Consider the following 27,896-nt stretch of genomic DNA (forward strand, 5'->3'; position numbering starts at 1 on the left):
GAGTTCAAGGTTAGTGAAAATTAAGATGCAAATTTTTTTTTTGCAGTTATAGTTCATGGATGCCCCAGGGGGTTTGTGGACCCCAGGGTTACCCCTTGGAACCTTCTCCCTTCTTCTTCTTCTTCTTTTTTTTTTTTGAGATGGAGTTTCACTCTTGTTGCCCAGGCTGGAGTGCAATGGCGTGATCTTGGCTCACTGCAACCTCTGCCTGCAGGGTTCAAGGGATTCTCCTGCCTCAGCCTCGTGAGTAGCTGGGATTCCAGGCATGCACCACCACCCTCAGCTAATTTTTGTATTTTTAGTAGAGATGGGGTTTTTCCATGTTGATTAGTCTGGTCTCGAACTCCTGACCTCAGGTGATCCACCCACCTTGGCCTCCCAAAAGTGCTTGGATTACAGGCGTGAGCCACCACACCCGGCCCCTTTTCCCTTCCTTATTCTCCTACTTCGCACTTCTGAGTGCCTGGAGGCCTCTTGAGCAAAGTTGCTTAGAAACCTGTGTTGTCAGAGCTGCTACACTGGCATGGACAGGTGGTCAGAGCAGAGAGGCAACAAGACACTGTCGAACAAGCACAGCCAATAAACAAGAATTAAAGGGCATGATGATGATACCGGCTGCGGTGAGAACCTGCCACCCTTGTCATCAAAGAAACAGGCACCATCACCTTCCTCCACAGAGGGGCATTCACAGCACAGGTGTTCTGGGTCAAGGTCATTGAAATGTAATTTGACCTTGGAAAGGTGAGAGCCATTGACTCTGAGATTCTCAGGGCTTTTTTCAGTCTGTTTTTCTAATACCTACTACATTCATTTAACAACTTTCAACAAGTATGCATTGTTGAAAGTAGGCACTTGGCCAAATCCTGGGTCTACAGGGATACTGTCATGAAGCTGGGCTTCAGTGGAAACCAGGAAACCCGAGGTGGGAGAGGCTAACAGCCCTGTGCGGCTGGATGCCTCGGGGAGATGGAAAGGGGAAAGTGGAGCTGGTCACAGTTTTACGATGAGCAGACGGAGCAGAGGGGAGCACGCTTTGTCTAAGAACTCCCAGAGGGCAGGGCCTCCCGGTGGATTAAGCAGGCCAGGGAAGCCTCCTGAGTTCCCCAAGTCCCTGAGTCGGCCTTTGGGCAGCATTCCTGGGACTCAGGTACTCTGGCTGCTCTGCCCCAGGGAAAGTGCCCCAACCTCTGGGGAAATGCCTGGAAGCCCCTCAAGTGCTCCTGCCATGGCATTGAGCAGGAAAGTCAGGGTCCGCGGTACTAGTTCTGCAGGAATGGCTTCCTTCTGTTTCACGGGACCAGGCTCATGAAAAGTTAGAGCTGGAAGGGTCCTTGAGGAACACACAGTCCAAGCCTCTCATTTTACAGACATGGGCACTGAGGCTCAGAGGCAAGAGGGACTCTCCCAGGTCCCATGGTGGCAGAGCCAGGGCTAGAACCCAGGCCTCCTGACCCTGATCCCCAGAGGGAGGTCACATGGGAAGCAGTAGGATGAAGATCATGTCTGAGTCCTGGGCCTGCCGCAGGTTTGGGGTTTGGTTTGTTGTTGTTTTCATCCAACTTTCCGGAGTTGGTCCAGCACCTGCTGTAGTGTTACCTGGGCACCTGGATCCCTGCATAGGTTAGTTACCACATACAGCAGATTTTCCAAAGTGGTGCATCGGTCTGCCATTCCTGACCGGCCCTTTCTAACCTTGGCCAGGTCAATTAAGCATTTTTTGCTTCAGGTTTGATGAACCTGATGTTAGTAGTACCTACTTCACAGGCTTGTTGCCATAAGTGAGTTAATGCACATAGAGCTTTTGTAACAGATGGTGGCGGGTTAGTCACGACTCTTTCAGTTAAAAGTGTTAGAAAACCAACTCAAGCTGGTTTAAACAGAAGATGGGATTTATTGGTTCACAGAACAGTAAAATCCAGGGCACAGTGGATTTCAGGCCTTGCTGGATCCAGGTGCTCAAAGATGTCCTCAAGGCTCTGGTTTTCTTTCCAGCTCTTGGCCTGACTTCCATTCCTCTATATTGCTTGATTTTTAAGTGGACTCTTTTTACATGGTGACTCATAGTGATCCACAGTGACAATGTCTTTTAAACTAGCAATTCCAGTAAAAAGAGGGGGTTTTATTTATTTTTAATTTTTAAAATAAAAATTGTGTATATTGAAGGTGTACAGCATGATATTTTGATATACGTAGTGAAATGAATACTACAGTCAAGCAAATGAACATATCCATCTCCTCACATAGTTACGTTTTTGTGTATGTATGTGGTAAGAGCACCTGAAATCTACTCTCCTAGTGAATTTCCAGTGTACAATATACTTTTTTTTTTTTTTTGAGATGGAGTCTTGCTCTGTCGCCAGGCTGGGGTGCAGTGGTGTGATCTCAGCTCACTGCAACCTCCACCTCCTGGGTTCAAGCAATTCTCCTGCCTGAGCCTCCCGAGTAGCTGGGATTACAGGTGCACACCACCATGTGCTGCTAATTTTTTGTATTTTTAGTAGAGATGGGGTTTTACCATGTTGGTCAGGCTGGTCTCAAACTCCTGACCTCAAATGATCCTCCAGCCTCAGCCTCCCAAAGTGCTGGGATTACAGGCATGAGCCATAGCCCCCAGCCTACAATATACTTTTAATAACTATAGTCCATATGCCATATATTAGATCTCTAGGCTTGTTCATCTTATGTAACTGCAACTTTGTGCCCTTTGACCTCTGTCTGCTGATTTCACCAGCTATCTGACCCTGGTAACCACTGCTTCTACTCTCTGTTTCTGTGTATTTGACTTTTTTAGATTCCACGTATAAGTGAGATCATGTAGTTTTTATTCTGTATCTGGCTTATTTCACTTAGCATAATGTTTTCCAGGTTCACCCACGTTGTTGCAAATGACAGTATTTCCTTCAAAAAGAGGGCTGTTTTTCCCTAATTGTCCTGTAAACCTCCTGGAGTTGAATGTCGTTGGCCCGGCTTGAGTTATGTGCCCTTCCCTGTGTAATCACTGTGACAGGGCAATGAGACGCTTGGATCGGCCAGACCTGTATCATGTGCCCACCTTGGGAATTGGGGGCCAAGGTCAGTCCCACCCAAATTCATGGCCTGAGCATGGGGGAGACGAGGACCCCAAAGGAAGCTATGCGCACTGTTTCCAGAAGAGGAACTGATGCGAAGTAGGCCAAAGTGACGGGTGACCAGGCCTGTGAGAGATGTGGAGACCTCACATAAACAAGTGCACCTCAGGGAGCCCGAGGTGGGGACGTTACCGTTGCCAACTCTCAGAGTGGAGACAGCTTTGCAAGAGAAGTGATAGGACTCCTGAAGCCCAGAGGGCGTGTCTCGGGGTCAGCGGGGCCCCAGGGCTTTGGGTCTCACAACCCCTCAGAGGAAAGGCCCACCCCAACTCATGGGGAACAAGCAAACCGCAGGTGTGGACCGCGGTCAGTTCCGAGCAGGGCTGGGGTCATATGTCTGGGCTCCTTGCTGTCCGGGCTGCTGGCTCCATCCCAGAACTCTGCATATGTGGACTCACTGGCTGCTCACAGCAGGCCTGTGAAGTAGGTGCTAGCGGGAGGAGAGCCTTGGGCACAGAGAGCCTGATGGACCTGCCCAAGTTAGGAAGGGGCAGAGCTGGTGGGCTCAGGCAGTCGGGTACCAGGAGCAGTCGCCTGACCACTGCTCTGCACCTCACAGTGATTTGTGAGGACTAGATCAGGCCTATACAGAATGGGCCAGGACAGCAGAAGCCCTCAATAAGGTGAGTGCTGTCACGCTGCCCTATTGCACAGATAGATAGTGTGGTGGGAATGCAGAAAAGTGACTTCTCACCCGAAAGTTGACAGTCAGCTCCAGCTGGAGGCTGAAGGTTCCCAGAAAGACAGATTGGCCTGGTCTGACGCTCCAGCAGGCTGCCCTCCAATCCCTGCCGGCAGGCACCCAGGGTGGGTGAGGCAGGAGGCAGGTGATGGTGGCTGGCCAGGTCCATGGACTGGGCCGCGAGGCCTGGCTGGGCTCTGGGTTGTGGGGAACAGAGTGGGGGGTGGCTAAGTGGCAGTGGGACTTTCTGAACAGGGTTGGGGAGAAGACGGGGCAAAGGCCCAGGCCAGGGCAAACATGAAGGTGTTTCTTGGTGTTCAACAGGACAAGATTTCCCAAAGTGCCATTTCTGGGAGGACAAAAATAACTAACACCATGTCATATCTGGTCACCCATTTTTCAGCTCCTTTTAGGCATGTGGAAGCCTGCAGTGGATAGTCTGAACCACCAAAATATCAAAGGCAACTGCACGCCAATAGATAGTCAGCCTTTCACATCCGCAGAGCCTTCTTTCCCTAATAGGAAATGTCTGCTGGTGACTTTCTCCCCAGAGCCTGCGTTGGCATCAGGCCAAGGGCTGAGTCCTGCCCTCCTCATCTCAGGGGCTGCCACCCCTGTCATTTTCCTGTTTGTTTAGACTGCTAGAAAGAGAACGTACTGCCCTAGGTTTCAAAGCCTCAGTTAAGTCTCCCTGCACCTAATGAGTTCTGCTTTGAAAATCCATCAGCCTCAGACGCGGCTCTGTCTGACCCTGTGATTCTCTCCTTGGCTCAGTAATCAGGTGGGGACCACCAGAATGGAGCACGACTCCTCTTCCGGCCGCTCCCTGGCAGGTGGAGTGATGGTCTGTCCTTACTCCAGGTTGCAGGAGCAGCTCATTAGAGGGAGTGACACACAGTCTCCCAGAGCTGCTGGCTGGGGCTGTTGCTGGGCAAGGGGCTAGGGGGACAGAACTGGTATTATGGGCCTGGGATGGCTGGGTATTCTGGGGTTCCCAGCCAAAAGTCTCCTGCAAGGCCAGTAGCCCTGAATCACAGCAGAAAAGAAAAAGAAATTCCCCCCATTCTGCAAAAGCCATGATGAAATGAAATTCATTCGTGGAGAGATTACATGATTGAGGCTCCTGAGTGGCTGCTGTGTGGAGTGTATGTGTCCCAGGTAAAGACCCATCTCTTGCCAAGGTTGCCAATGACTAGTGAGTTAGTGGACACCCAAAAGGCATTTTTTTTTATTGTGGTAAAATGTGCATAACGTAATATTTACCATTTTAGCCATTTTTAAGTGTAGAGTCCTGTGGCAGTAAGTACATTCACAATGCTGTGCAACCATCACCACCATCCATCTGCAGGACATTTTCATCTTCCCAAACGGAAACTCTGTGCCCATTAACATGAGCTGCCCACTCCCCCCTCCCAGGCCCTGGCAACCACCAGAGTACAGGGCAGCAGAAACCCACAAACACAGCTTGTCTAGTTCCGTGGACACACAGCTCTTTGGGCCTTGGCTGATGCCTCTCTGGAGAGCTATTCATTTAATAAACCCTTATGAAAGGCTTGCCATGTGCCAGGCATTGCACTGGTGCCTAGAATATAAAGGGGAGTAAATGCAACCCTACTTTCTACAGCAAACATAGCTACCCACACACTTCCTTAGTGACCACCGCTGCTCCCTCCTGGTCTAAGCACCTGTTACCCCTCTACTGCTCACAGCCACATACAGAGATAGGCATTACTGCTCTTATTTTCAGGTGAGGAAACCAAGGCACAGAAAGGTTAGGTGACTTGTCCAACATCACACAGGTAGGAAGTGGCAGAGCTGAGTCTCAAACTCAAGCAGTCTGGCTTCAGCATTGGTGTTGGTCTTCTTAACCTCTTGGCTGTGCTGCCTTTGAAGGGCTCACAGCCAGTGCAGGGAAGAGAGTGTCCCTTCTTGGGACTGCTCTCCCTTCAGGAATTGTCCTCATTGTGTCGGGTGACATGATTCTAGTAAATAGGAAAGCAAAAAGCAAAGCAAACCCGGTTAAAAAAAAAAGTGAAATTGTACCCAGAAATCTAGTACAGCTCGAGACCATGGAGAAGACCAGGAATGAAGCCTCGGGAAGTCTCCAGGGCTGTGGGAGGCTATCTGCTGTCTCACTCACCCTGCCAGCTCTTCACACGAAACAGTTTCTCACACACACACACACACACACTCACACACTCAGGCACACATAGACTCGTGCACGCATGCACGCCAGGGACTGATGATGATGGCTGAAAGTCCTTTACCCATGGTGTTCTTCGCTGCCAGAGGGAAAGCTGAGAGCCCCTCGGGCCCCAGGGCCATTGTCTTCATGGGAGTAAGGGCAACTGAAAGGGAGGGGGGGCCAGCAGCAGCCGCTCTTACTGTGACAGCATGCACTGCTTTTGGAGGCTTTAGTCAGATTCCGACTCAGGGGCTGTCCTGCAGTCTTCTCCCCAGACAAATGGGTTGTTCTGTGGGGGGGATGGTTGTTCTATGGGATGAAGGAGACAGAGGCTGCACAGAGGAGACAGTAGGGCGGGGGAGAGTGAGTGCAAAAACCCAAAGTCACTGCCTTGCTTCCACCACTAGCCCAGGCAGGTGGGAGGGCCTGGCCTACCCTTTTCTTTGGGGGAGGTCTGCCCCCTCGGCCTCTTCCCTGACACGCAGCCTTACTTTTTCATTGTGATGAGATAGTATCATGAGAGGCGGCCCCAGACTGCCCTCCCCGTGGGCCCAGGATGCTGGACCTTGTTGGACCTTGGTGGAGGATGATGCCGTCAAAAAGACATTGCTGTTTGCACCTTCTCAATATCTCACCATCTTGCTTCTGTGTGCTTTCTCAAAATGTCTTTACGCGTCATCATGGTCATGTAGTCTCTTTTCAATTTTTTCTTTATTTTTAATTTTAAAAATGTTTTTAAAAAACTGAGATAAGGTCTCACTATGTTGCCCAGGCTGGTCTCAAACTCTGGCCCTCAAGTGATCATCCTGCATTTAGTCCCCCACACCACCGCCCCAACCCCCAGCTTTTTTTTTTTTTTTTTTTTTTTGAGAATGCATCTCTCTTTGTCACCCAGGCTGGAGTGCAGTGACGCAATCACAGGTCACTTGCAGCCTCGACTGTCTGGGCTCAAGTGATCCTCCCACCTCAGCCTCCAGAGTAACTGGGACCACAGGCATGCACCACCATGCCTGGCTAATTTTTAAATTACTTGTAGAGACAAGGTCTTATGTTGCCCAGGCTGGTCTTGAACTCCTGGGCTCAAGCACTCCTCCCACCTTGGCCTCCCAAAGTGCTGGGATTACAGGCATGAGCCACTGCACCCAGCCCCAGTCCCTTTTTTAAAAGGCAGCCATAACTGGGCTGAGTCTGACTCGGTGAAGGCCAAGTTTAAAGCCCACAGCCACCCCTGCAGCGGCTGCTTCCCTGGGCAGAGACAATGAGTGCAGCTGGGCCTTGGAAGGCCTCTCCCCTCCCATCCCTGAGTCTTGATCAGCTGCCCCTCACACCCCAGGGTTTTCTCTTGCTGATTTCTCTCTCAAGCAACGAAATAAAAAAAGTCACACTGAAGTATTAGAGACTTAATCAAAGATAAAGTTGCATTTTGAAGGAGAATCTTGGGGAGCTAAAAGTTCATAATGACAAGAAGTGAGTGCTGCGGCTGGAATTTCCTTTTCCAGTGGGGCCCATACCTCTGTGCATCCCTAAATTTGATCAGGTTCATGATGCACTTGACCTGTATGGATGGTGGGTTCTCGCCTGGCCCATCCCAGTGCCATTTCTTAGGATCTGCAGCTGTGAAGCCGGCTATGTGCGCTAATTCTTTGAGAGAAGCATGGTGTCCTAATCTCACACTGTCCCTTTGGCAAATGATAGAAGGAAACTATCTTATCTTGGCAGCATGGTGGAGAGAAGCCACTGTGAGGCATTAGCTGAGTGATGGGGGAAGGATGGGGCATGGGGATGCCAGTCCATCACGATAAGGGATGCCAGCTCCCAACACATGAGTGCAGCCTTCATTCAGTTCTGTGCCAGGTGCTGGGCTGCGTGCTGGGAATACAGTGGTATCAGCAAAATTTACTTGGTCCCTGTCCATGTGGTGCTTCCTGTCTCTTCGAGGAGATAGACGTTACATCAGATAATCCCACCCGCAAGTGTGAGATGAGGAGGTCTGTGAAGGAGAGGCATTCAGAGATAGGAGAGTGAGGGGCCGTGGAGGCCTCCCCAGGAAGCCTCACTGGCCGAGAAAGAGTTCAGTGGGGATCAGGGAGACCAACTTGGGAAGGCCTTATTTCTTTTTCTTTTTCTTTTTCTTTTGAGACAGGGCCTTTTTCGCCCAGGCTGGTGTGCAGTGGTGCAATCATAGTTCACTGCAGCCTTGAACTCCTGGGCTCAATCCATCCTCCCACCCATCCTCCCTAGTAACTGGAACTACAGGCACATGCCACTGCCCCCAACTAATTAAAAAAAAAATTTTTTTTTGTAGAGATGGAGCCTCCCTGTGTTGCTTGGGCCTCAAGCAAGCCTCCAGCCTCGGCCTCCCAACGTGTTGGGATTTGAGATTACAGGCGTGAGCCACCCTGCCCTGCCCCTTTGTTTTTATTCTATGAGCAATGGGAGCAGCCGAAGGATAATCATATCTGCATCTTGAAAACATCCCTGTAGCTGTTGTAGGCAGCACAGCTGTGGGAGACCTGTAAGGAGGCGGCAGTCCAGGCAAGAGTTGATGGGAACTTGAACTAGGAGGCGGTGTTAGCAGAGACAAAGTGGGTGGAGGTAAGAGACATTCAGAAGTAAAAAATGACAGATTTGGTCTCAGATGGGCTGTGTGGGAGGAGGAGCCATGGGGAATCCTGGGTTCTGGCTGGTGCAGGTGATGGGAGTGGGTGTGGATCTCTGAGATGAGAAAGGGCCAGGCTTAGTGCAGGGACAGGTCAGGAATTTGTTCTTGTACTTGTTTTTGAGAGGGTTTTGAAATATCCCAGAAGAGGTGTCAAGTAAGCCATTGTCAGTGGTCTGGAGCTCAGAGGCAAGGTCTGTGCTGGAGAATGAAGTCTTCAATCAGGTGCCCTGGGTGGAGGGGAGAGGATCTTAGGAGAGGCTGTGTGCTGGGGAGAGGAGAGGTCTAGGGCTGAGCCTGAGGGCTTCAACATTTCATGGTTGATGAGGGGGAGGGCAGAGGGGGACAAGTCATACCTTAAGTGTGCCCCACTCTCCCTGGCATATATCCCATCTTTTCTACTTGGAACATTCTTCCCCCTTCCTAGACTCCCCACTCACCCTGAGGTCTCTCCTTCCTCTCAGAAGCCCTCCTGTGCTCTTATGCCTGGGTCAAGGGCTGCTCTTGCCCCACTGCTCCCCATGCTGCCCCCTCACAGCCTTTATCACATTGACCAGCAAATACCCAGCTGTGTGTCTGGATCCATCACTAATCGAAGGGTTCTATGTCTGGGTCACCATTGTGCCCCCAGCACCAAGGACAGTGTCTGGTGGATCTGTAGTTAGAGTAGAGGCTCAGCTGCTATAACAAAGAGACCAGAAACACAGTGGCTTAAATGCATTAGAAGCCCTTTCTCTCATGTCAAGCTATCAGGCTGTGCCAGGCTGGCAGGGCAGCTCTCTTCTACGAGGTCATTCATTGGAATCATCTTGGTGAATAGTCTTCTGCCAAGGCCCAGGGTGCGGCCCTAGTTCCCATGGTTGAAGTTGGGTTACCGCCATGTCTTCTTTCCAGCCCATAGGAAAGGAAAAGAGCAAAGTCTGGGGAAAGCAGCTGGATTTAGTTTGGAGATGACCCAGACGTTTCACACATGTATCACTTTCGCTCATAGCTCATTGTCCCAAACAGTCTCATGGCCTCTCTTGGTTGCAGAGGAGGCTGGGACATGCAGACTCTAGATGAGTAGCTAAATGCCCAGGAGTCAAAGGGAAGGGATTTGGGGGACAGCTAGCAGTCTTCCTACTCACTGGGCAATGAATATTGAATGGACGGACAGACAGTTGGTTTGTTGGTGTCTTAGTCCATTTTCTGTTGCTATAACAGAATACCACAGACTCGGTAATTTATAACAGAATGAAGTTTATTTAGCTCACAGTTCTGGAGGCTGAAAAGTCCAAGAGTATTGTGCCAGCATCTGGCGAGGGCCTTCTTGCTGTATCATTACGTGGCAGAGGGCATCACTTGGTGACAGGGCAAGAGTGTATGAGCTTAGCTCTCTCTTCCTCTTGTTTATTTATTTATTTATTTATTTTTCTTTTTTGAGATGGAGTCTCACTCTGTTGCCCAGGCTGGAGTGCAGTGGGCAGGAGTACACACAGAGATGATGGTGGGGGAGGATGGACAGCCAGGTAGTGGGTGGGGAGAAGAACTGGAAACCAGCAAAATGAGCTGAGAAGAGTCAGTGGATGAGAAGATGGGCACATCAGGGAGGAGCCAGTGGTGAAGGACCGCCATCCTCTTAGTGGATTTCATCCTGAGCCAGGCCTGCCCTAGCCGGCTTGTGTCACTGAGATGCTCTCATCCTTCACGGGGACCCATTCCAGGGACATCCTGCACCCATCCACTGTGGAGTGTTGTAAGTCCTCTCTGCAGCTGCTGCAGTTTATCTGAGATTTGACTAAAATCTTCCTTTCTTCCATTCCTAACTGCAGCCTTCTGCCCTGCCCCTCATTGACATGTCTGGCCCTCCTCTTCCAGCTCTCCCTCACTTAGTCACCCTGCAGCCATGCTGCTACCAGAGCTGTCCCCAGCCTCCTCCTGGAAGCCCTGGTCCCAGGGAGCCTGACCACAGCTCCACTGATACGGAGGCAGACGCTGCTGCTGCTGTGCCGGCCCCTGCCCCGGGAAATGTCAGTGCCATCCTTCACCATTGGGATGACTGGTTTTAATCCTTGGTTCTTTCCTGAAATCAGTTTTCTTTTAAAAAGTAGGTTTCTCAAATCCATTTGGCTCTTTGCTCTTTTAAGACACCAGTATGGGCTGGGCGCAGTGGCTCATGCCTGTAATCCCAGAACTTTGGGAGGCCGAGGCAGGTGGATCCCCTGAGGTCAGGAGTTCGAGACCAGCCTGGCCAACATGGTAAGACCCCATCTGTACTAAAAAGTACAAAAAATTAGCTGGGTGTGGTGGCGGGCACCTGTAATCCCAGCTACTGGGGAGGCTGAAGCAGGAGAATCACTTGAACCTGGGAGGTGGAGGTTGCAGTGAGCCGAGGTCACACCATTGCACTCCAGCCTGAGCAACAAGAGCAACATGCCATCTCAAAAAAAAAAAAAAAGACATCAGTATGTGGACCCTGAAGGGTCACCCCAAAGTCAATCTCATCTGAAAGCCAGTGCACAGGAAGCCAGGCCACTTTTGTTTGGCTCTCAAAGTCCTGAAAAGGTTTTCCACAGTCCCAGGGTAGGCTGTCTCCTGAAGCCCCAGTACCTGCTTTCCCTCTTGTTCTCTGATGGAGCTGAGGGGCCACAGACCTCAGGCCTCTCCCTCTCCTTTCCTGGTAACCAACAAGTTTGTGAAAACAGGCACGGGCTGTCTCAGTTAGCTTTTGCTGCATGACAAACCTCCCTAAAACTTAGTGGCTTAAAACAATAGTGTTTATGGAGTTCACAATTCTGTGGGCTGGGCTCAGGAGGGCATTTCTTTGGTCAAGCTGGGCTTGGTTATTCTTAGCTGGGATGGCTAGATGGCTGCGGCCATCCGCATGTGGTGTCTCATCCTCCAACAGGCTAGCCAGGGTTTGTCCATGTGGTGACAGTGCAGAGCTCTATGAGTGTGGCCTCAGCTCAGGAGTGGCACAGTGCCACTTCCCCTGCATTATATTGGCCAAGGAAAGTCCCAGGGCCAGCCTGGATTCAAAGGATGGGGAAGCAGATTCTACTTCTTAATGGGAGGAGCAGCAAAGTCACATTGCAAAGGCTATGGATACAGGAAGTGGAGAACTGGGGCCATTTCTGAAATCTGCTGCCGTTGGTTAATGTACCATTCATTCTAGGCCTGTTCTTGTCTGTTAAAAGAGAATAAAGACTTGGGATTGTTGTAGAAATCAAGTGAGGAAATATGGTAAAATGCTAACTTCTAATGAGTGCTCGGTGCATTACAGATTGATTATAATGATAATGGTTTTACCTTTGCCAGTTGGAAGGCTGGGAAGGTACTTTTTGCTAGACAAGCAAGCACACATGTCTATCCTACAGGACAGCATAAAGCAATTCTGTTTTTCCTCCTCAGTGCCTTATTAGTCCATTCCTGTCCACCTAGAAAGGTCCTCAGGGAGCTCCTCCTCACAGGCCTCTTCCTTTTTCTCTTTCCTCACAGCTCTGTGTCCCCTAGAGTCCTCCTCTCTGTCACTGGCTATCTTTTGATAAACTTCTGGACTTCCTATAGCATGGCTGCAGTGCAGTGTTACCCTAACAGATTCTCTGACTTTTGTCAGTTGTCCTGGCTTGGTGAGGCAGGGCTCTGGGACGGGGGATGGGAGTAATTGCCCCTCTGCCCAAGAGCCAAGCAGTACAGGCCTTTAGGATTCTAGATGCTAAATGATTGCTGTAAAAACCAAACATCCTCGCCCACTTCTTCTATTCTTCTTCCCCCTCCATTGACATGTTGCCCAGTGACACTCTTGTTCCAACTATCTATTGTTGTGTAGAAAACAATCTCAAAATTTAGTGGTGCGAAAAAAAAAACCATTGTGTTATGCTCATCTTCTGTGGGTAGGGATTTAGATAGGACACATTCGGGATATCTTGTCTCTGCTCCATGATGTGTGGGGCCTCAGCTAGCAAGACTCAAAACCAGGGTGACTCGATGGTTGAGGACTGGAATCATCTGGAGGCATCTTTACTCACATGTCTGGTAGCTGAAACTGGCCCTCAGCTGGAACCTCACCTGAGCTGTTGAATGGACCATCTACACGAGGTTTCTCCCTGGAGTTTCTCACCTGAGCTAGTTTGGACTTTTTTATAGCGTGGTGGCTGGGTTCAAGAGTATGCAGCTGAAGATGCAGGAAGTGAAATCCAGCAGTTTGTTAAGGCCTGAGCCAGGAAACTGGCACAGTGCCACTTCTGTTATATGCTGTTGGTTATTAGAGTTCAGTTTTAAGAGGAAAGTATATGGGCCCATCTCTTGATGAAAGAGTGTCAAAGAATTGGCCGCCTGAGTCTACAGTGGCTCCTGAAGGTCTCTTGGGACTGGAGTCCTTTCCTGGCTTCCAACCCATAAGCCTCAGAGTCTGGCCTCTCATCTCATCTCCAGCAGGTGAGCCCAAGCCTGCCATTTGACTGAGAGCCCCACTCTGCCTGGTTAACTGGGAACAACACCGTAGGATTGGGAGCTGCATTCCAGGGGTGTTCCTGGAAATCCAGGGGCTTCTGTCACAGCCTTGCAGAGTCCCATGGCATCATTTAATTTTTTTGTGTTAGACATCTGTGTGCATCTGTCCCCTAGTTTACTCAACCACTCCATTGCCTTCTCTGCAGCTAGTGAGGAGCTAACTGATAGACATCCTTGAAGAGTTAGATCTCAACAGGTTGCTTAAAACTTTGTTTTAACCAAAATGAGAATTTGTTTTTGAAAAAAGAGAAAAGCCATGGCAAAACCATTTTTACAATATTTTGCTTAATACACTCCAGTCTTTGTCCACATAAATAAATATTTTAAAATAGTCCCCCACACAATACACTTTCTATTTGTGTAAGCTCACTCGAAGCACTTGCCCATCTTGCTGTGTAGTCATCACAATTATAATTTTTACTGGCTGTACCACACTGCGGCATAGGGATGAGTGCCTAGCCTCAGGCTTCATGAGGCTGACATGGTGAACTTAACAATGATAATAATTTTTTTAAAAGGTGGAGTGAAGAATAGTGCCATTGGCCACAAGTCAACGTGAGAGCAGGATTCATTGAGATCTTCAATTTTATTTTCCTAGTCATAATTAATAACTCCTGTCTGCCAAGATTCTGCTCCAGCACTGCCTCCTCAGAGGACAGTCCCCATCATCCTCCTTCCTACTCGATGTGGGGCCCTCCTCATGCCCCAGCTAGGCCTTATTGGTTTCATGCTGTGTTCTAAGTACTTTACCTGCATTAATTTAATCCTCACGTTTACCCTTGTCTACTATCATTGTGCGTTTCGTAGATGGGGAAATGAGAAGTGCTGTTACCTGGAGATGAGGTCTAGAGAAGTGCCATCATTTGTCAAGATTGCACAGCTTATCTGTGATGCAGTTGGGATTCGGACCCTGGCATTCTGATGCCAGAGCTCACCTTTGTATTCACAGTGTTATCCTGCCTGCCCCGCCTCAGTCCCCACTCAGAGGACTGACCACACAGCATTGTGTTCTGTGGGTTATTTGCCTCTCTCACCGCCCCGTGGGATTCTTGAGGGCCAGGACACTGAAGCACTCAGTAGGTACTTCGTAAGTGCCAGCTGAATACATGGAAAAATGAATGAATGAAATGAATTCGGTATGATTTTAAGGAGGGGACATGTCTTAGTTCAGGCTGCTATAACAAGAATACCATAGACAGGGTAGCTTAAATAGCAGACATTTATTTCTTACAGTTTTGGAAGCTGGGAAATCTGGGACCAGTATACCAGCGTGGTTGGGTTCTGGGAAGGGACCTCTTCCTGATTTTCTCACATGGTGGGGAGGGAGAGAGAGAAAAAGAGCTTGGATTATAAGGGCATCAATTCCATCATGGAGACTCCAACTCCATGACCTCATCAAACCTTTGCTCGATGGAATGCAGTCTTCAGGCCTAGTGACTGGAGATGTTCTGCTATTACCTGCTATGTCAGAGGCCCACTGAGGCTTTGCTTCTGAGGGCTCAAGGACTTAAGGGTTCAGGGTGCACTGTTCTCCCACACGCCCAGTGTGTGTAGCCACAGCTCAGGGACCTGGGGACAGCTCTTCCCAGCACTCCCAGGGGTCACCCACGCCTGGCTATGAACTCCCACTGGTGCCTGGAACATTTGAGCTCACACACACTGGGCTGCCGAACGCTTGGGGCAGTCTTGTTCCCAGGCTTGCGTTTGGTAAGGAGAGAGTGCCTCAGCTTTAACAAGCTCCATGCTGAGCACATGGTGGGCACGACATCCATGTTATTTGTTATTTGGGCAATCAGATGAGGTCCGGGCATTAGCCTGCATGTCTCATGTCTCATGTCTTAGCCTGTGGATTAGTGGCACCATTATGGCAAGGGGTCAGCTCAGGGATCCCTGTTCTCAGTTGCTGCAGCATCCCCACAAGAGCTCCTTTTGGGTCTCATCATGTTGTAGGCTCTCACTGCCTTTGATCTCAGAGAGGCTCTCTGGCTGCTGCAGCCTTGGGCAGAACCCCTCTCGGTTTTTAATCTCCGTGTCTACCCATCCATGGAAATGTCATCTTGTGAGGTTGCAAATTCTAAGGAGATGGTAGCCGTGTTGTCTCCTATAACAAATGTTGCCACCGCTGCCCTCACCCATCTTTCCACCAGACTGGCCACCCTTAACACCGACCTGCTGGAAGGTAGGAAGGACGAGGCTAAGCCCTCAAGGGCCACTGCATTGTCCTGGGCTCCCCTGCCCTGGCCATTACACAACCACCCTTCCCCGTCCCATCCCCGTCTCCTCAGTTCACCCTCTAGCACTGAAGCCTAGACTCTGTCATGGCAGGCTCGCAGTTAGGGAACTGAGAAATTCCATGTGGTTAAATTTCTGCTCCAGCTTAACATCCTGGGAAGACCCCTGAAGAGACCTATGGTGTCCAGTTCTGTAGCGCAGCTCCCCAGCCCCGCCACAGAGTGCCCAGGCTGGGAGCACATCAGAGGTCTAGGAGGGGGCAGGCAGAGGGCAGAGGAGGTTTGCTAATAAGCACAGGGAAGCTGATGCACACCCGGCGCCACTAAAATTAATTATTAGCTCCAGTCGCCTTCACCCCCAGCAGGATGAGAACTGATGTCACAGTCAGGAGACTGAGGGGGATGGAGGAGGGAGCTGGTCTCATTTTCCTTCTGTCCTCGGAAGGAAGGACACCAGATGGATGTGTGGCATCCAAGAAGGCTCCTGTCGTCTTTCCTTTATGCCAGTTGGAAAATCAAAGGCACACACTAACAGCTGCAGCCCACCTGATGCCGCAATACACCTGCAGACTGTGACTTACCAGGGTCTCACCTGTACACCCCTTGTCTGCCTGAAGACTCGCACCCCACCGTGTTCCCCTGACCCCCTCAAACCTCACAATCCCAACGCATTTGCCGGAGAACCCTTAGCATTTACCCGAGACCCTGGGAGGAATGAAGAGGGTTTGTCCCAAGCTGGCACTTTCTGACTGGGGAGAGAACAGAGGGCCTCTGGATGTGGGGGAGCAGCTGAGGCTAAGGGAGAAGTGGTTCAAGATGCCATACACCTTCTCTCTGCTGGGAGACAGAAGGCCACCTGTCCACTCTTCCTCATTCTCTTCCATGAAACCCATGCATGGAAAGATTTAAGCCATAATAAATCCACTCTCCCATCTCTAGTTGATCAAAGGTGGGTTATTGGCCACTGGGAACTGCCGATAGCAGGAAAGACCCCTTAGTTACTGCATTGTGATGGGATCACAATGAAATGCTGGCAAGTTCGGCTTTCCAATGGGCAGTGTGACCTCACTATGGTGTCTGTGCTTTCTCTAATGTTGAAAGCCACTCACAGACCCTTTGCTGCTCCAGGATAGAGGCATCGAGGGCACTGGCAGATTCATTCTGCAAAAGTGTGTGGATGTTCAGGATGATGAGGATGCTAGAACTGTTCATGTTTTACTCTGCACTATTCCAGATCGGTTTTATGTTCTGAGTCCTCCTTGCAAATTCCTTGCTGGCCAGGACATGAGGCTGCACACAGTGCTGGGTCTACAAAACACTTTCTAGGGGAATGACTCGGTGCAGTTCTAGGGGAAGACACAGCCCCTCCGCAGACCTGCTCAGCTTCGAACCCTGCGCTGATATGCCCTTTGGTTGACACCTTCCTCTCCCACCTAGTGTGGTCTTCTTGTGCTCTGTTCTGGAGTGGCCGAGCTGAAAGGATGACACTGCCTTCCCTCAGCACATATGAGCACAGGATATCCCATATCTTCTGCTCCATTTCTTGAGAAAACAGAACCCAAAAGAGTTGCCATGAAGAGCATTTGAGTGGCCCAGGACCCTGGCCTTGCTTTCTGCAGCCTCCTCTGGTTTACTCAGGCCACAGCCATATAGGCCCCATTCACATTCAAGGCTACGCTGATTCTGTGTCCCTGGGACTTGTCCAGAAGTATTTGTGAAACTTGTAGTCAGTTCTCTTTCCTTTCCTTTTCTTTCTGGTTGAAATAATTGCACAATGAGGCAAAGATGATGACTAGACCTCCTGAATCAGACTCTTAGGGTGGTGGGGCCCGGGAAGGTGTATTTTTAGCAATCTCTGATTTTGACCCTGAACATAATCTCCCATTTAGCTTATTCTGGCCTTGAACTAGGCAGCCCTTGGCAATGGGTCCTGTTTCTTAGGGTGTGAAGAACCTGTTTCTTTGGCTTTCAAAATCAGCTGTACATTTCCTTCCTGACCCCCAAAGCTCACATTCAGGGTAAGGCCTTGAAAAAAGGCCTTCCTCAACCAACTCCTCCGGAGAAGTGAGGGAGGGTGTCCAGGTGTAAACCACAGCCACTGAGGAGCAGCACATCATAATGACTGCAGAGCCAGCTGGAGGTGACATCTGGGATCAAACAACTTGCTGGCCTAGGTCCTGGGGGCAGTTTTTACTCTGAAGCAGCTGCTTCGGAAGACAGCTCTGCCTTTCTCCCACTGAGTTCCAAGAGGCTTTAAGATCCCCTCTCCAGACCCAGCACCTCCCAAAGCTCCCACGTGAGTCATGCGAAAAGCTGAACCCGGTGAGAACTCCAAGGACACTTCCAGCTCTCAGGCTCTATCTCGTGGGAGCAGAGCCGCCCCCTTCCTGATGGGAGACTGTACCAGCCACTCCTGGCTGCTTCTCTTCTCGTGCCTGACAGCCAAGCTCCAGGAACTCTCCCCAGAGGACAAGCCCAGAGAATCTCTTTGGGGCTCCCAGGACGGAAGTGGAGGGACCCTTTTCTCTCCCTACTGCCTTGTCTTGGAGCCTGGGCCCGGAGCTCCTTGGGGAAGCTGAGAGTACAGAGACCACAGTGATGGCAGCCAGGGCTCAGCTCTGCTTGTGTTTTTGCTGCAACTCTCCGTGGGAGGACTTCCCCAGGCCTCTGCTGCCTGCCTTTCTTCCCAGGATCATGGTAGGACGTGCAAACCACATGTCTGTGCCTAAGTCCCAGGTATCTTACAACACACTGATTTTGGTGGTTGACAATACAGTTCATTACCATCATTTTCCTTGTGCCAGTTAGTGTTAGCTGGGACCTCCAGGAACAGCATGCGCAGGGCCAGCCTCAGCCTCCCTGTCCCTGCTGCAGAGGACCATCTCCCCGCTCCAGCCCTGAGTCATGTGGGGGAAGCCGTTGGACAGAGTGAAAGGCCAGAATCATGGACTCATTTCTGATGAGGTTGCGTGATTTTCTCGTTCTGTATCTGCCAGGCTAATTCCTCCACCCATCAGAGCGAGGACTGGTATCAGCTGGAGGAATGTTAATTTTTTTTTTAAACAAGCAATTCCTAGATCCATCCCTGTGCCTGTGGCAGTCTAGAGGTGGAACCTTAGTATCTGCATATGAACCCCAGTTTGAGACGTTTGATGCACACACTGCTTCGGAAAACTTTGCTTTGGATCCCTTCCCCCCACCATCCCCTTCTCATTTTACCGAGAACCTTCATGTCCACTTATCCCCTACTTGGTTATGTCTTCACCCTGTCCCCCGACCCCTCCCGGCAGCTTCTCCTCAGCAGATAAACAAGCTTAAGTTTCTCCCACTTAAGGAAAAGTGGTCCTCACCCACACCCTGGAATCCACACCTCCATTCTCTCCAAGCCCCCTGACCTCCTGCTCTGAGCCCTGCCATTCTCCCGACTCCCTGTAGAGCCACTCTTGGCCTAAGCGAGTCTGCGATTGCACATGGCCCCTCTCACTGAACCTTGCTGAAGCAGGTGACCTGCCCCAGCACCTCTTCCTCCAGACGGTTCTCTCCTGTTTCTGGGACGCCCTCCCCTAGCCACTCTGATTGGACCTCCCCTGTCCCCTTTGTGGTCTTCTTTTCCCTTTTTGCTCACCACTAAAATCTTGGTGTCCCCTAGGGTCTTTCCTTGAATTTCATGCCCTCCTGGGGTGACCTCATTCACTTCCAACCACTACTTGAAATTGACACCTCTAGAGTCCTTGTCTCTGACTCAGCTCTCTTCAATCAGTGGGCATTTTAATCTCCATGTGAACGGCCAGGCCAGCCTGTCTCCAGATGCTCTTCCCTCCTCTGAGTCCAGTCTGTGTACCACTGAGCTCTGGACTGTGCACCGCTTAGCTCCAGATGGCCAGGACGGCCTGTCTGCAGATGCTTTTCCCCTCCTCCTTCCCTCCATGAGTCCCCATCAGCTTCCCAGCTCCCTGCTCCATCGCCTGCTCTCCTGTGAAGTCTTTCCTGCTACGGCCAAACAGAATTCATCACTGTTCCTGGTGTGACCCAGTGTCCTTGCCAGAGTGTGAGCTCCCGGGCGGGGGTGGCAAGTTCCCATCACCTGTCTGGGCTCCCATTCCTAGGACTCAGCATTGGCATATGGCTGGCGCTCAATAGAATAAATTAGAACCAACACATTGCTGTTGGGTAGAGCGTTTTATTTAACTGGTAAGACTCATTTAAAACAATTAACACCTCTTCGTAGGAAAATGTGCTAAAACCATTTTTTAAATTTACTGCTGAAGAGATTAAAACAGTTTTTATATTATAAATCCATTCACTTAATCTCTACCTTTTATGGCATGTGGTACCTTATACGGCAAAAGGGACCTGTTGTCATAGTTTCCTTATTAGTGATATCTGAGTTCACACAACTGGACAATATGTGTGCACATGATAGAAGTCAGTATGTGTATAAGGTTATATTTTTACATGGCTTAGAGTTATCATGAGTGTGTCAACATGAGTAAAAGAAGGAGCAGAGACCAAAAATCCCTCTGACACCACACACATGCTAAGGTTGTCTCCTCCTTTAAATAAAGTGTGGGCCAGCCCAGCTTTTCCTAACATATAAGCCAAAGCCTTTGCTAAGGATCATTCAGTTTGCACAGCCCTGCTCATCTGCAGAGCACTGGGCTCACCAGGCCTTCCCCGCTCCACCAAGAACAGGCAGGTACTCAGCCCACTGGCCTCTAATCACTTTGGCAATTCCAGTGAGATTTCATCTTTTGGCCAGAGATAGGCTTGACGACCTTCTGACTCTAAGAATCTCTGAGTTCAAGGACAAAGTTTCCTTATGCTCAAAACTTTCATATACACATTAGGCTTTCATTAGTCAGCTACTCTTGACCTGCAGAAGTGCCAATTTCCTATGGTTCAGCCTAATAAAAACATGAAAGAACATGGAATGCTGTTCCCATTTCCTAGGCTGAAAGAGTGAGGTGAGGCCACAGCCACAAAGAGGGTCACTGGGTCTCAGCTCCCACCGAGTCAGGACACTGCAGTCCAGAGATCAGAACACCATCCAATTCAGGGCCTTCCATAAATGACACAGGGATGGGAAGGAGTGGGTTCAAGGATATTTGAAAACCATTAAGCATGAAGGTTCTTTCCTTATTATTATTAATTTTTTTGTTGTTGTTGTTTTATGATGGAGTCTCACTCTGTCACCCAGGCTGGAGTACAGTGGAGCATTCTTGGCTCACTGCAAACTCTGCCTCCCGGCTTCAAACGATTCTTCTGCCTCAGCCTCCTGAGTAGCTGGGACTACAGGCGTGCACCACCACACCCAGCTAATTTTTGTATTTTTGGTAGAGACAGGGTTTCATCATGCTGGCCAGGCTGGTCTTGAGCTCCTGACCTCAGGTGATCCACCTGCCATGGCCTCCCATGAGTGCTGGGATTACAGGCGTGAGCCACCACGCCCAGCCTTTTTCCTTATTTTTTAATGTAAGGATGCAACACCCTAGACTGAAAAGAACTCAGCCTTCTAAACTAGACAGATTGACTTTAAGTCTGGGTTCTGCTGTGAGGGCAAGTCATTTAGCCTGTCTGAGCCTCAGTTTCTGTATCTGTAAAATGGGGATAATAATAACTACCTCCAGTGGTTTTAAGAATAAGAGGTAATGTAGGTAGAGAGAGGGCTGCACAGTGCTTAGCATGCTATAGGTTTGCAGCAAATGGCACCTATGTTATTTTCACTTCACATTTTCCACACATATTCTTATTCATCTTCAACCATCTTTCCACTTTGGCAGCGTTCTCTTTTGTAATAGTGTCCACTTGTGTGCATCTCCTGTCTCACATGCATGATGCACTGGCAGAAGCAAAGAATGGTGGCACACACTTCCTAATAGTCCCTAAGTCCCCTGCATCTTCCTGTGTCCACTACCAAGCCCTGAGCCCACATCTCCCCCATTCCTCAGCTGCGGCCTTCTCATCCCAGTTCATCTTTCCCATCTCAGACACTTTAAATCCACCCTGCCACTTGGGCGCGGTGGCTCGCGCCTGTAATCCCAGCACTTTGGGAGGCCAAGGTGAGCGGACCACTTGAGGTCAGAAGTTTGAGACCAGCATGGCCAACATGGGGAAACCCCGTCTCGACTAAAAATACAAAAATTAGCCGGGCATGATGGTGCATGCCTGTAATCCCAGCTACTTGGGAGGCTGAAGCAGGAGAATCACTTGAACCTGGGAGGTGGAGGTTGCAGTGAGCTGAGATCACACCACTGCACCCCAGCCTGGGGGACAGAGTGAGACTCCGTCTCAAAAAAAAAAAAAAAAAATCCACCCTGCTGACAAATTAATTTTCTTAAATCCCTGCTTCCATTGCATTGCTCTCCTGCTCAGAACTCTCTGTGAGAGCTCCGTTTCCTGCAGGTTGGGGGCAAACTCTTACCCATGCATTCAAAGCCTTCCACAAATGGCCAGAGTCAGTCCTCCCTCTTCATCCCCATCACCTTCCCCTTGTCACCACCCTGCCCCCTGCACCATCCTCACCCTTCTCCTCCCAGCAGGAAGAGGCTAGAGCTGAAGTCCCAGCTCCATCACTTTTACCCTTACAGGAGCCCTCAGCCTCCTTCTCCTCTGTCAGGTGGGGTGATGAGTTTGCCCAGTACACTGTGAGTTCTTGAGGGCAGGGGTTCAGTTAGGTTCTTGAATGAGTCTCTACAGAGACTCCAGAGTTGCACCCCAACCTCATCCCCCAGAAAGGAAGCTCCAGCCAACACTCTGTGCCCCTAGCTGGCTGTCCATCCGGCGAGAGTAGAAGAACAGCTTTGCCTCTCTGGATCTCCCACAGGGCCTCTGGAGCTCTGTGCCAGGAACACAGTGGGGGTAGTTAGCGAGTTGTCTGATCTTGAATCCGTGGTTTTCACACTTTAGTGAGCCTTATCATTCCTATTCCTTGGAGGGCAGCGGGGAAGCTTGTTGGGAAAAGCAGATGCCAGGTCACCCTTTAGAAATTCCGTAGATCTCAGGTGGGACCCCGCATTTTTAACAAATGCCACAGGCGATGAGGCAGGTGGTAGGAGGAGACACTTGATGTTGGGTGTACTTCTTTGAATGCCACAGGCCACCTACTGTGTACAAGGCACTGTGCAAGGGGCTGGAGGGATGAAGGTGAATGAGATGCCGCCTGAGACCTCACATCGGTGGCAGTGGTTACGATGAGGAGGAGGAAAACGAGGCAGGGTCAGTTTCAGAAATCAGCATGTGGACTCAGGCTTCAGCCTTGGATCTGAAGCACAAAGGTGTGGGTGAGAGCAAAGGCCACACCTGGAAACTGTAGGAGCCAGCGAGTTGGGCAGGGAAGGGCCAGAAACCAATGAGTTGCATCCTGGGACCTCACACTGGTGGCGGTGGTTAAGATGAAGAGGAGGAAAATAAGGCAGGGTCAGTTTCAGAAATCAGCACATGGACTCAGTTCAGAGTGGGAGGCAAAATAAAAAACAAGGCAGCCTCAAAGAGCAGGAACTGAGAGAATCGAACGTGAGGAATGTGACAATGGTCACCAGTCTTTTGGTCAATTTCCCAAATGCCCTGCTTTCTGGTCTGGGCCCGCTTTTAACAGGCCATCTACACCTGGGAGGCAGTGCAGAGGGGCGTGGCATTGGCATCTGACTCTGGTGGGTTCAATGCTCACCTGTCATTGTGACCTTGGACAAGATGCTTAGTTCCTGAGAGTTATTAGTCAGGGTTCTCTAGAGAGACAGAACAAGTAGGATATATGGAAGGAGATTTTTTTTTTCTTTTGAGATGGAGTTTCACTCTTGTTGCCCAGGCTGGAGTGCAATGGCACGATCTTGGCTCACTGCAACCTCTGCCTCTTGGGTTCAAGCGATTTTCCTGCCTCAGCCTCCTGAGAAGCTGGGATTACAGGCGCCCGCCACCACATCCTGCTAATTTTTGTATTTTTTAGTAGAGACAGGATTTCACCATGTTGGCCAGGCTGGTCCCAAATTCCTAACCTCAGGCGATCTGCCCGCCTCGGCCTCCCAAAGTGCTGGGATTACAGGCATGAGCCACTGCGCCGAGCCCTGGAAGGGGACTTATGAGGGGAAGTTGGCTCATGTGATCACAGAGGTGGAGAAGTCCCACGATAGGTTGACTGCGAGCTGCAGAGCTGGAGAAGCTAGTAGCTGGCTCGAGCAGGCAGCATGGCACAGTCCAAGTCTGAAATCTCAGAACCAGGGAAGCTGACAGTGCAGCCCCCAGTTAGTCCTGAGAGGTCCCCAGGGGGCCGCTGGTGTAAGTTCCAAAGTTCAAAAGCTGAAGAACCTGCAGTGTGACGTGTAAAGGCAGGAGAAGATAAAGCGTCTCACCCTGGAAGGAGGAAAGGAAGCAAAGAGGACATTCCCCTTCCTCTGCCTGTTTGTTCCTGCTAGGCCCCCGACCAATTGGATGGCGCCCACCTACACTGAGAGCGAGTCTTCCTCTCTCGGTCCACTGGCTCACACATCAGTCCCCTCTGGAAACAGTCTCACAGACACACTCAGAAACAGTGCTCCACCAGCCGTCTAGGAACCCCTCAATCCCATCAAGTTGACACCTAAAATTAACCATCACACTGAATCTCTCTCTGTGTGTGTAAGAGTGTAGTAAGCCAAACAGTGGCCCCTAAAGATGTCCACATCCATATCCCCAAACCTGTGAATATGCTACTTGATGTAGTAAAATGCACTTTGCAGATGTGATTAAATTAAATGGATGGGGAGAGCATCCTGGATTACCCAAGTGGGTCCTGAATGCTATCACAAGGGTCCTTACTACAGGGAGGCAGCGAGAAGATATAAAGACAGAAGCAGAGGTCAGGGAGAAGGTGCTACGCTGCTGGCGGTGATGATGGAGGAAGGGGCCACAAGCCAAGGAATGTAGGTGGCCTCTAGAAGCTGGAAAAGGCAAGGAAGTAGATTTTCCCCTGGAGCCTCCAGAAGGACTCATCCCTGAGGACCCATTGCAGACTCTTCTAACCTCCAGAACTATAAAAGAATAAATTTGTGTGGCTTTTAACCATGAGGTTTGGGTAACTTGTTACTGACGCTGTAGGGAACTATGACAGATATAGAGAATGCTAATTCTCTGCACGGTTGTTGTCAGGAGGGCTCAGAGCCCATGTAGGAAAGGGGCCTAACTCGGTAAAGGTAGTGATGTTACCCATAGGGGCTGAGTCTTAGACAAGGTGAAGAATGTGACCGCACCCACCACGTTGCTTGGCACCTTGTGGATGCTCAATAGAGCTTAGGCTCCCTGTCCCTCCCCTTACAGGTCAGGGTGTCTAGGGGAACCCCATCAGGGAGGGGCTCTGGGACACCTGTCCTAGTCTGCGCCCTCTACACTGCACAGTGTACTACTACTACACTGTAGGCTCTTGGCTCCTGTCCCTTAGCGAGCAGCATGTGTGCTGGGTGGTCATTTCCTGGCCCTTCCCCTCTCCTGAATTTACCTCTGAGGTTGCTTCTGTGTTAACTCAGACACATCAGCTTCCACCTCAGAACTCTTTGGCTCTTGGAATCTTTGCCACATAAAGTTGCCTTTTCCAACTGCCTGTTGTCCTTGCAAGTGGCTTCCTGATTGCTCCTTCCCAGAAGGGACTGCTTGTCCTGTGACTTCCTTGTCTCCCCCAGAGGTTCCAAGACTGTATGGGGCCCCTGGCAGCCCCGTGCAATACCTCCTCCAGGTGGCCCACTGAACTCTGCAGTATGGAGATGAGAGGTGGGCCAGGGTCTGGGCAGGGGTGCCACTCAGAGGACAGGGTGCCAGACATCGGTGGTTCTTCTCTGAGTTCTTGGAGGGTGGACAGCTGGGCCCCAGGCCAGCAATGAGCACACAGACCCCTTTGTCTCCCAGTGCCCTCAGAAGGCTGTCCCCTCTGGCCTCTCACAGGGACATTCGTCTCGGCCTTCACTGTGCTGTGCGGGGCCCGCACCGACCTCCCGGACAGGCATGTGTGCTGCGTCTTCTGGCTGAACATTGCAGCAGCCCTCATCCAAATCCTCACTGCCATCGTCATGGTGGGCTGGATCATGAGCATCTTCTGGGGCATGGACATGGTCATCCTTGCCAGTGAGTAGCTGTTGGTGCTGCGCCTCCTGGGGGTGGGGAGTGGCCAGGGACAGGAAGGGCTTGGGAGACCTTCATGTCTGGCCGAGGTCCTGCTCACCCGCTAAGCACGGGCTCTGGAGAGGGCTTGCCCGTGTCCTCTTCACAACTCCCTGGGCTGCTTGGCACTGGGGACCCTCCCCGCCAGGCCTGGCCCAACACCTGCAGGGAATTATGAGTGGATGGCAGGAGAGTTCCATCATTTAATGCAAACTTGATTCAGACACAGAATGGTTTTGTGAAAGGGTTTAAAGTTACAAAATCAAGTTTACCAAAGACAACTCAGTTACCCTTTCTAAAATAACCTAGCAAAATCTTAAAACAGACACCACCCATTTTAAGCAGCTGTGCATGTCTCCCATACCACCATCCACGTTCCCTGTATTTTCCCACGCCCATCTACATGTGAGGCCACAGTTCCTCAATAATTGACCTCACCTCTCAGGCACTTTGCCTTCACTCTGTACCCCATGCCCCTCATTGTGTCCTATACCCCCCAAAACCATTCATAGCTGGGATCGTCAGTGTCAGAGGTAAGCTGAGCCAGGTAAGAGTGGCAGAGGCAGAAGGGGAAACTCAGGGTTCAGGGGCCCTAGAATTATGTAGAATGATCTATAGTCAACTCAGCCTGAGTTCAGGATCCTGTGAATATTCAAGACCCAGGGCACACACAAATGGCAGGACCAGGGTCAGTGACCAGTTAGGCCACCAGGCCAGAGAAGATGCAGGTAGATGCAGAGCCTGAGGGAGATGCAGTGGAGCGTGGTCAGATGGGCTGCCCGGAAGTGGCTCCTCTGGCAGCAGAGATCACAGGAGGAAGTGGGTCAGCTGCACTGCCAGGGTCTCCCAGAATCAGAGCAAACCAGGCAGATGCTGGCTACTGGGGCAGCCAGAGCAGGGGAACCCCAGGCTGGACCAGAGGCTGAGCAGTGAGCTGCCCCAGGGAGGAATGAGCTGGGAAGCAGCAGGGAAGCTGCTCCTTCCTCCTGGGAGGGGTGTGCTCAGGGCAGGGGCTGCCCTGTCAGAGGAATATTGTGAGGTAAGCCCAGCAGGCAGGCCCTTGCATCTCCTTCATGGGATCTCATCCTCTGGGCATGTCCAGGGGCGACTTTCATTTGTCTGGAGAGGTGAAGAGCATGACTGATAGGAAGGAAGTGCTGCCAGCCCTCAGGTGACTCCTAAAAATTGGTCCCGACAATTCCACAGAGGAAATTTGCTGCTTCCCCAGGGGCCTGTGCTCTGCAGGCTCCTGACCCTGTTCCCAGCTGGAAGCTGGGAGGTGCTTCTGCCCTCAGAAGGTTGAAGGCTGCCCAATTTGTGCAAGATGAGCCCCTCTTACTGGCTCATCTTCTCTCAAACTGAGCATCTGGCCAGGCACTGGGGACCTGAGGAAGGAACCTCTGCATTAAAGCGGAACATGACTGTGTCACAGGGTAGGTCTCAATAATGTATGTTGATGCCTCATCTGATCTCTAGAGCTTTCTGGTACACTTGTCTTTGATCTCCTTAATACCCAGGAACGAAGAGGTTGGAACCTTAGAGATAAAGAACTCCCTTCATCATGCCTAGATGAGGCATTGAGGCCCCAGAAGTGCAGATGGGGATCCAGTCACTTCCTCACTTTCCATTGCCCCAGGCTGTTGACTTGGCCAGAAACTCCTCTGCTGTGGCTGGTGTGGGGCACTAACTGGTCTGCAGGATAAGCAAGTGCTAGAAGCTGCAGCCCCTACCTTTGCCATGCAGCCTTCACTGGGGGTCAGCGTCAGCCCCTTGGTTGTCTGCACACTGTTTCCAGGGATGCTGTCTTTGCATCAAACTTTTGAGAATGCTTTTGGGGGGTGTATTAGTTCATTTTCACACTGCTGATAAAGACATATCCAAGACTGGGAAGAAAAAGAGGCTTAATGCACTTACAGTTCTACATGGCTGGGGATGCCTCACAATCATGGCGAAAGGCAAGGAGGAGCAAGTCACTTCTTTTGTGGATGGCAGCAGGCAAAGAGAGTTTGTGCCGGGAAACTCCCATTTTTAAAACCATCAGATCTCGTGAGACTCATTCACTATCACAAGAACACTGCAGGAAACACCCATCCCCATAATTCAATCATCTCCCACCAGGTTCCTCCCACAACACATAGGAATTGTGGGAGTTACAATTCAAGATGAGATTTGGGTGGGGACACAGCCAAACCATATCAGGGGGATAGACTTGAGGGCTGAATACAAAAACCAGTCACACCTCATTCTTGCCCACTGCCTGACTGCCAGACTCTTTCACCCAACTCAGCAAGGGAAGCCTTTGCATTTTTTTCCCACAACTAATCCCACCCCCAAAGGGTGAACAGTTGCTACTCATGAGATGGTGCTATAGGTGGGATTACTCCCAGCAACCATGGAA

General features: G+C 50.6%; 1 protein-coding gene across 2 annotated transcripts in view, besides 2 other annotated features; it reads left to right on the top strand.

Moving 5' to 3' along the window:
- The window catches only part of STUM (stum, mechanosensory transduction mediator homolog), a 60,467-nt gene that overhangs the window by 22,756 nt on the left and 9,815 nt on the right, over window positions 1–27,896 (top strand). For both annotated transcript variants that reach the window (NM_001003665.4, NM_001410930.1), the window contains exon 2: window positions 25,283–25,462. In NM_001003665.4, the coding sequence (NP_001003665.1) occupies window positions 25,283–25,462 (180 nt within the window). The remainder of the gene's footprint in view (window positions 1–25,282; window positions 25,463–27,896) is intronic.
- Window positions 24,832–25,359: an enhancer, noted in NCBI's record as "H3K4me1 hESC enhancer chr1:226784052-226784579 (GRCh37/hg19 assembly coordinates)". NCBI's record gives its function as "activates a minimal SCP1, AML or CMV promoter by ChIP-STARR-seq in naive H9 embryonic stem cells {active_cell/tissue: H9 hESC(naive)}" and the evidence as "EXISTENCE:reporter gene assay evidence [ECO:0000049][PMID:30033119]".
- Window positions 25,887–26,414: an enhancer, noted in NCBI's record as "H3K27ac-H3K4me1 hESC enhancer chr1:226785107-226785634 (GRCh37/hg19 assembly coordinates)". NCBI's record gives its function as "activates a minimal SCP1, AML or CMV promoter by ChIP-STARR-seq in primed H9 embryonic stem cells {active_cell/tissue: H9 hESC(primed)}" and the evidence as "EXISTENCE:reporter gene assay evidence [ECO:0000049][PMID:30033119]".

This window comes from Homo sapiens, chromosome 1 (assembly GCF_000001405.40).
Source record: "Homo sapiens chromosome 1, GRCh38.p14 Primary Assembly".
Classification (NCBI taxonomy): domain Eukaryota; kingdom Metazoa; phylum Chordata; class Mammalia; order Primates; family Hominidae; genus Homo; species Homo sapiens.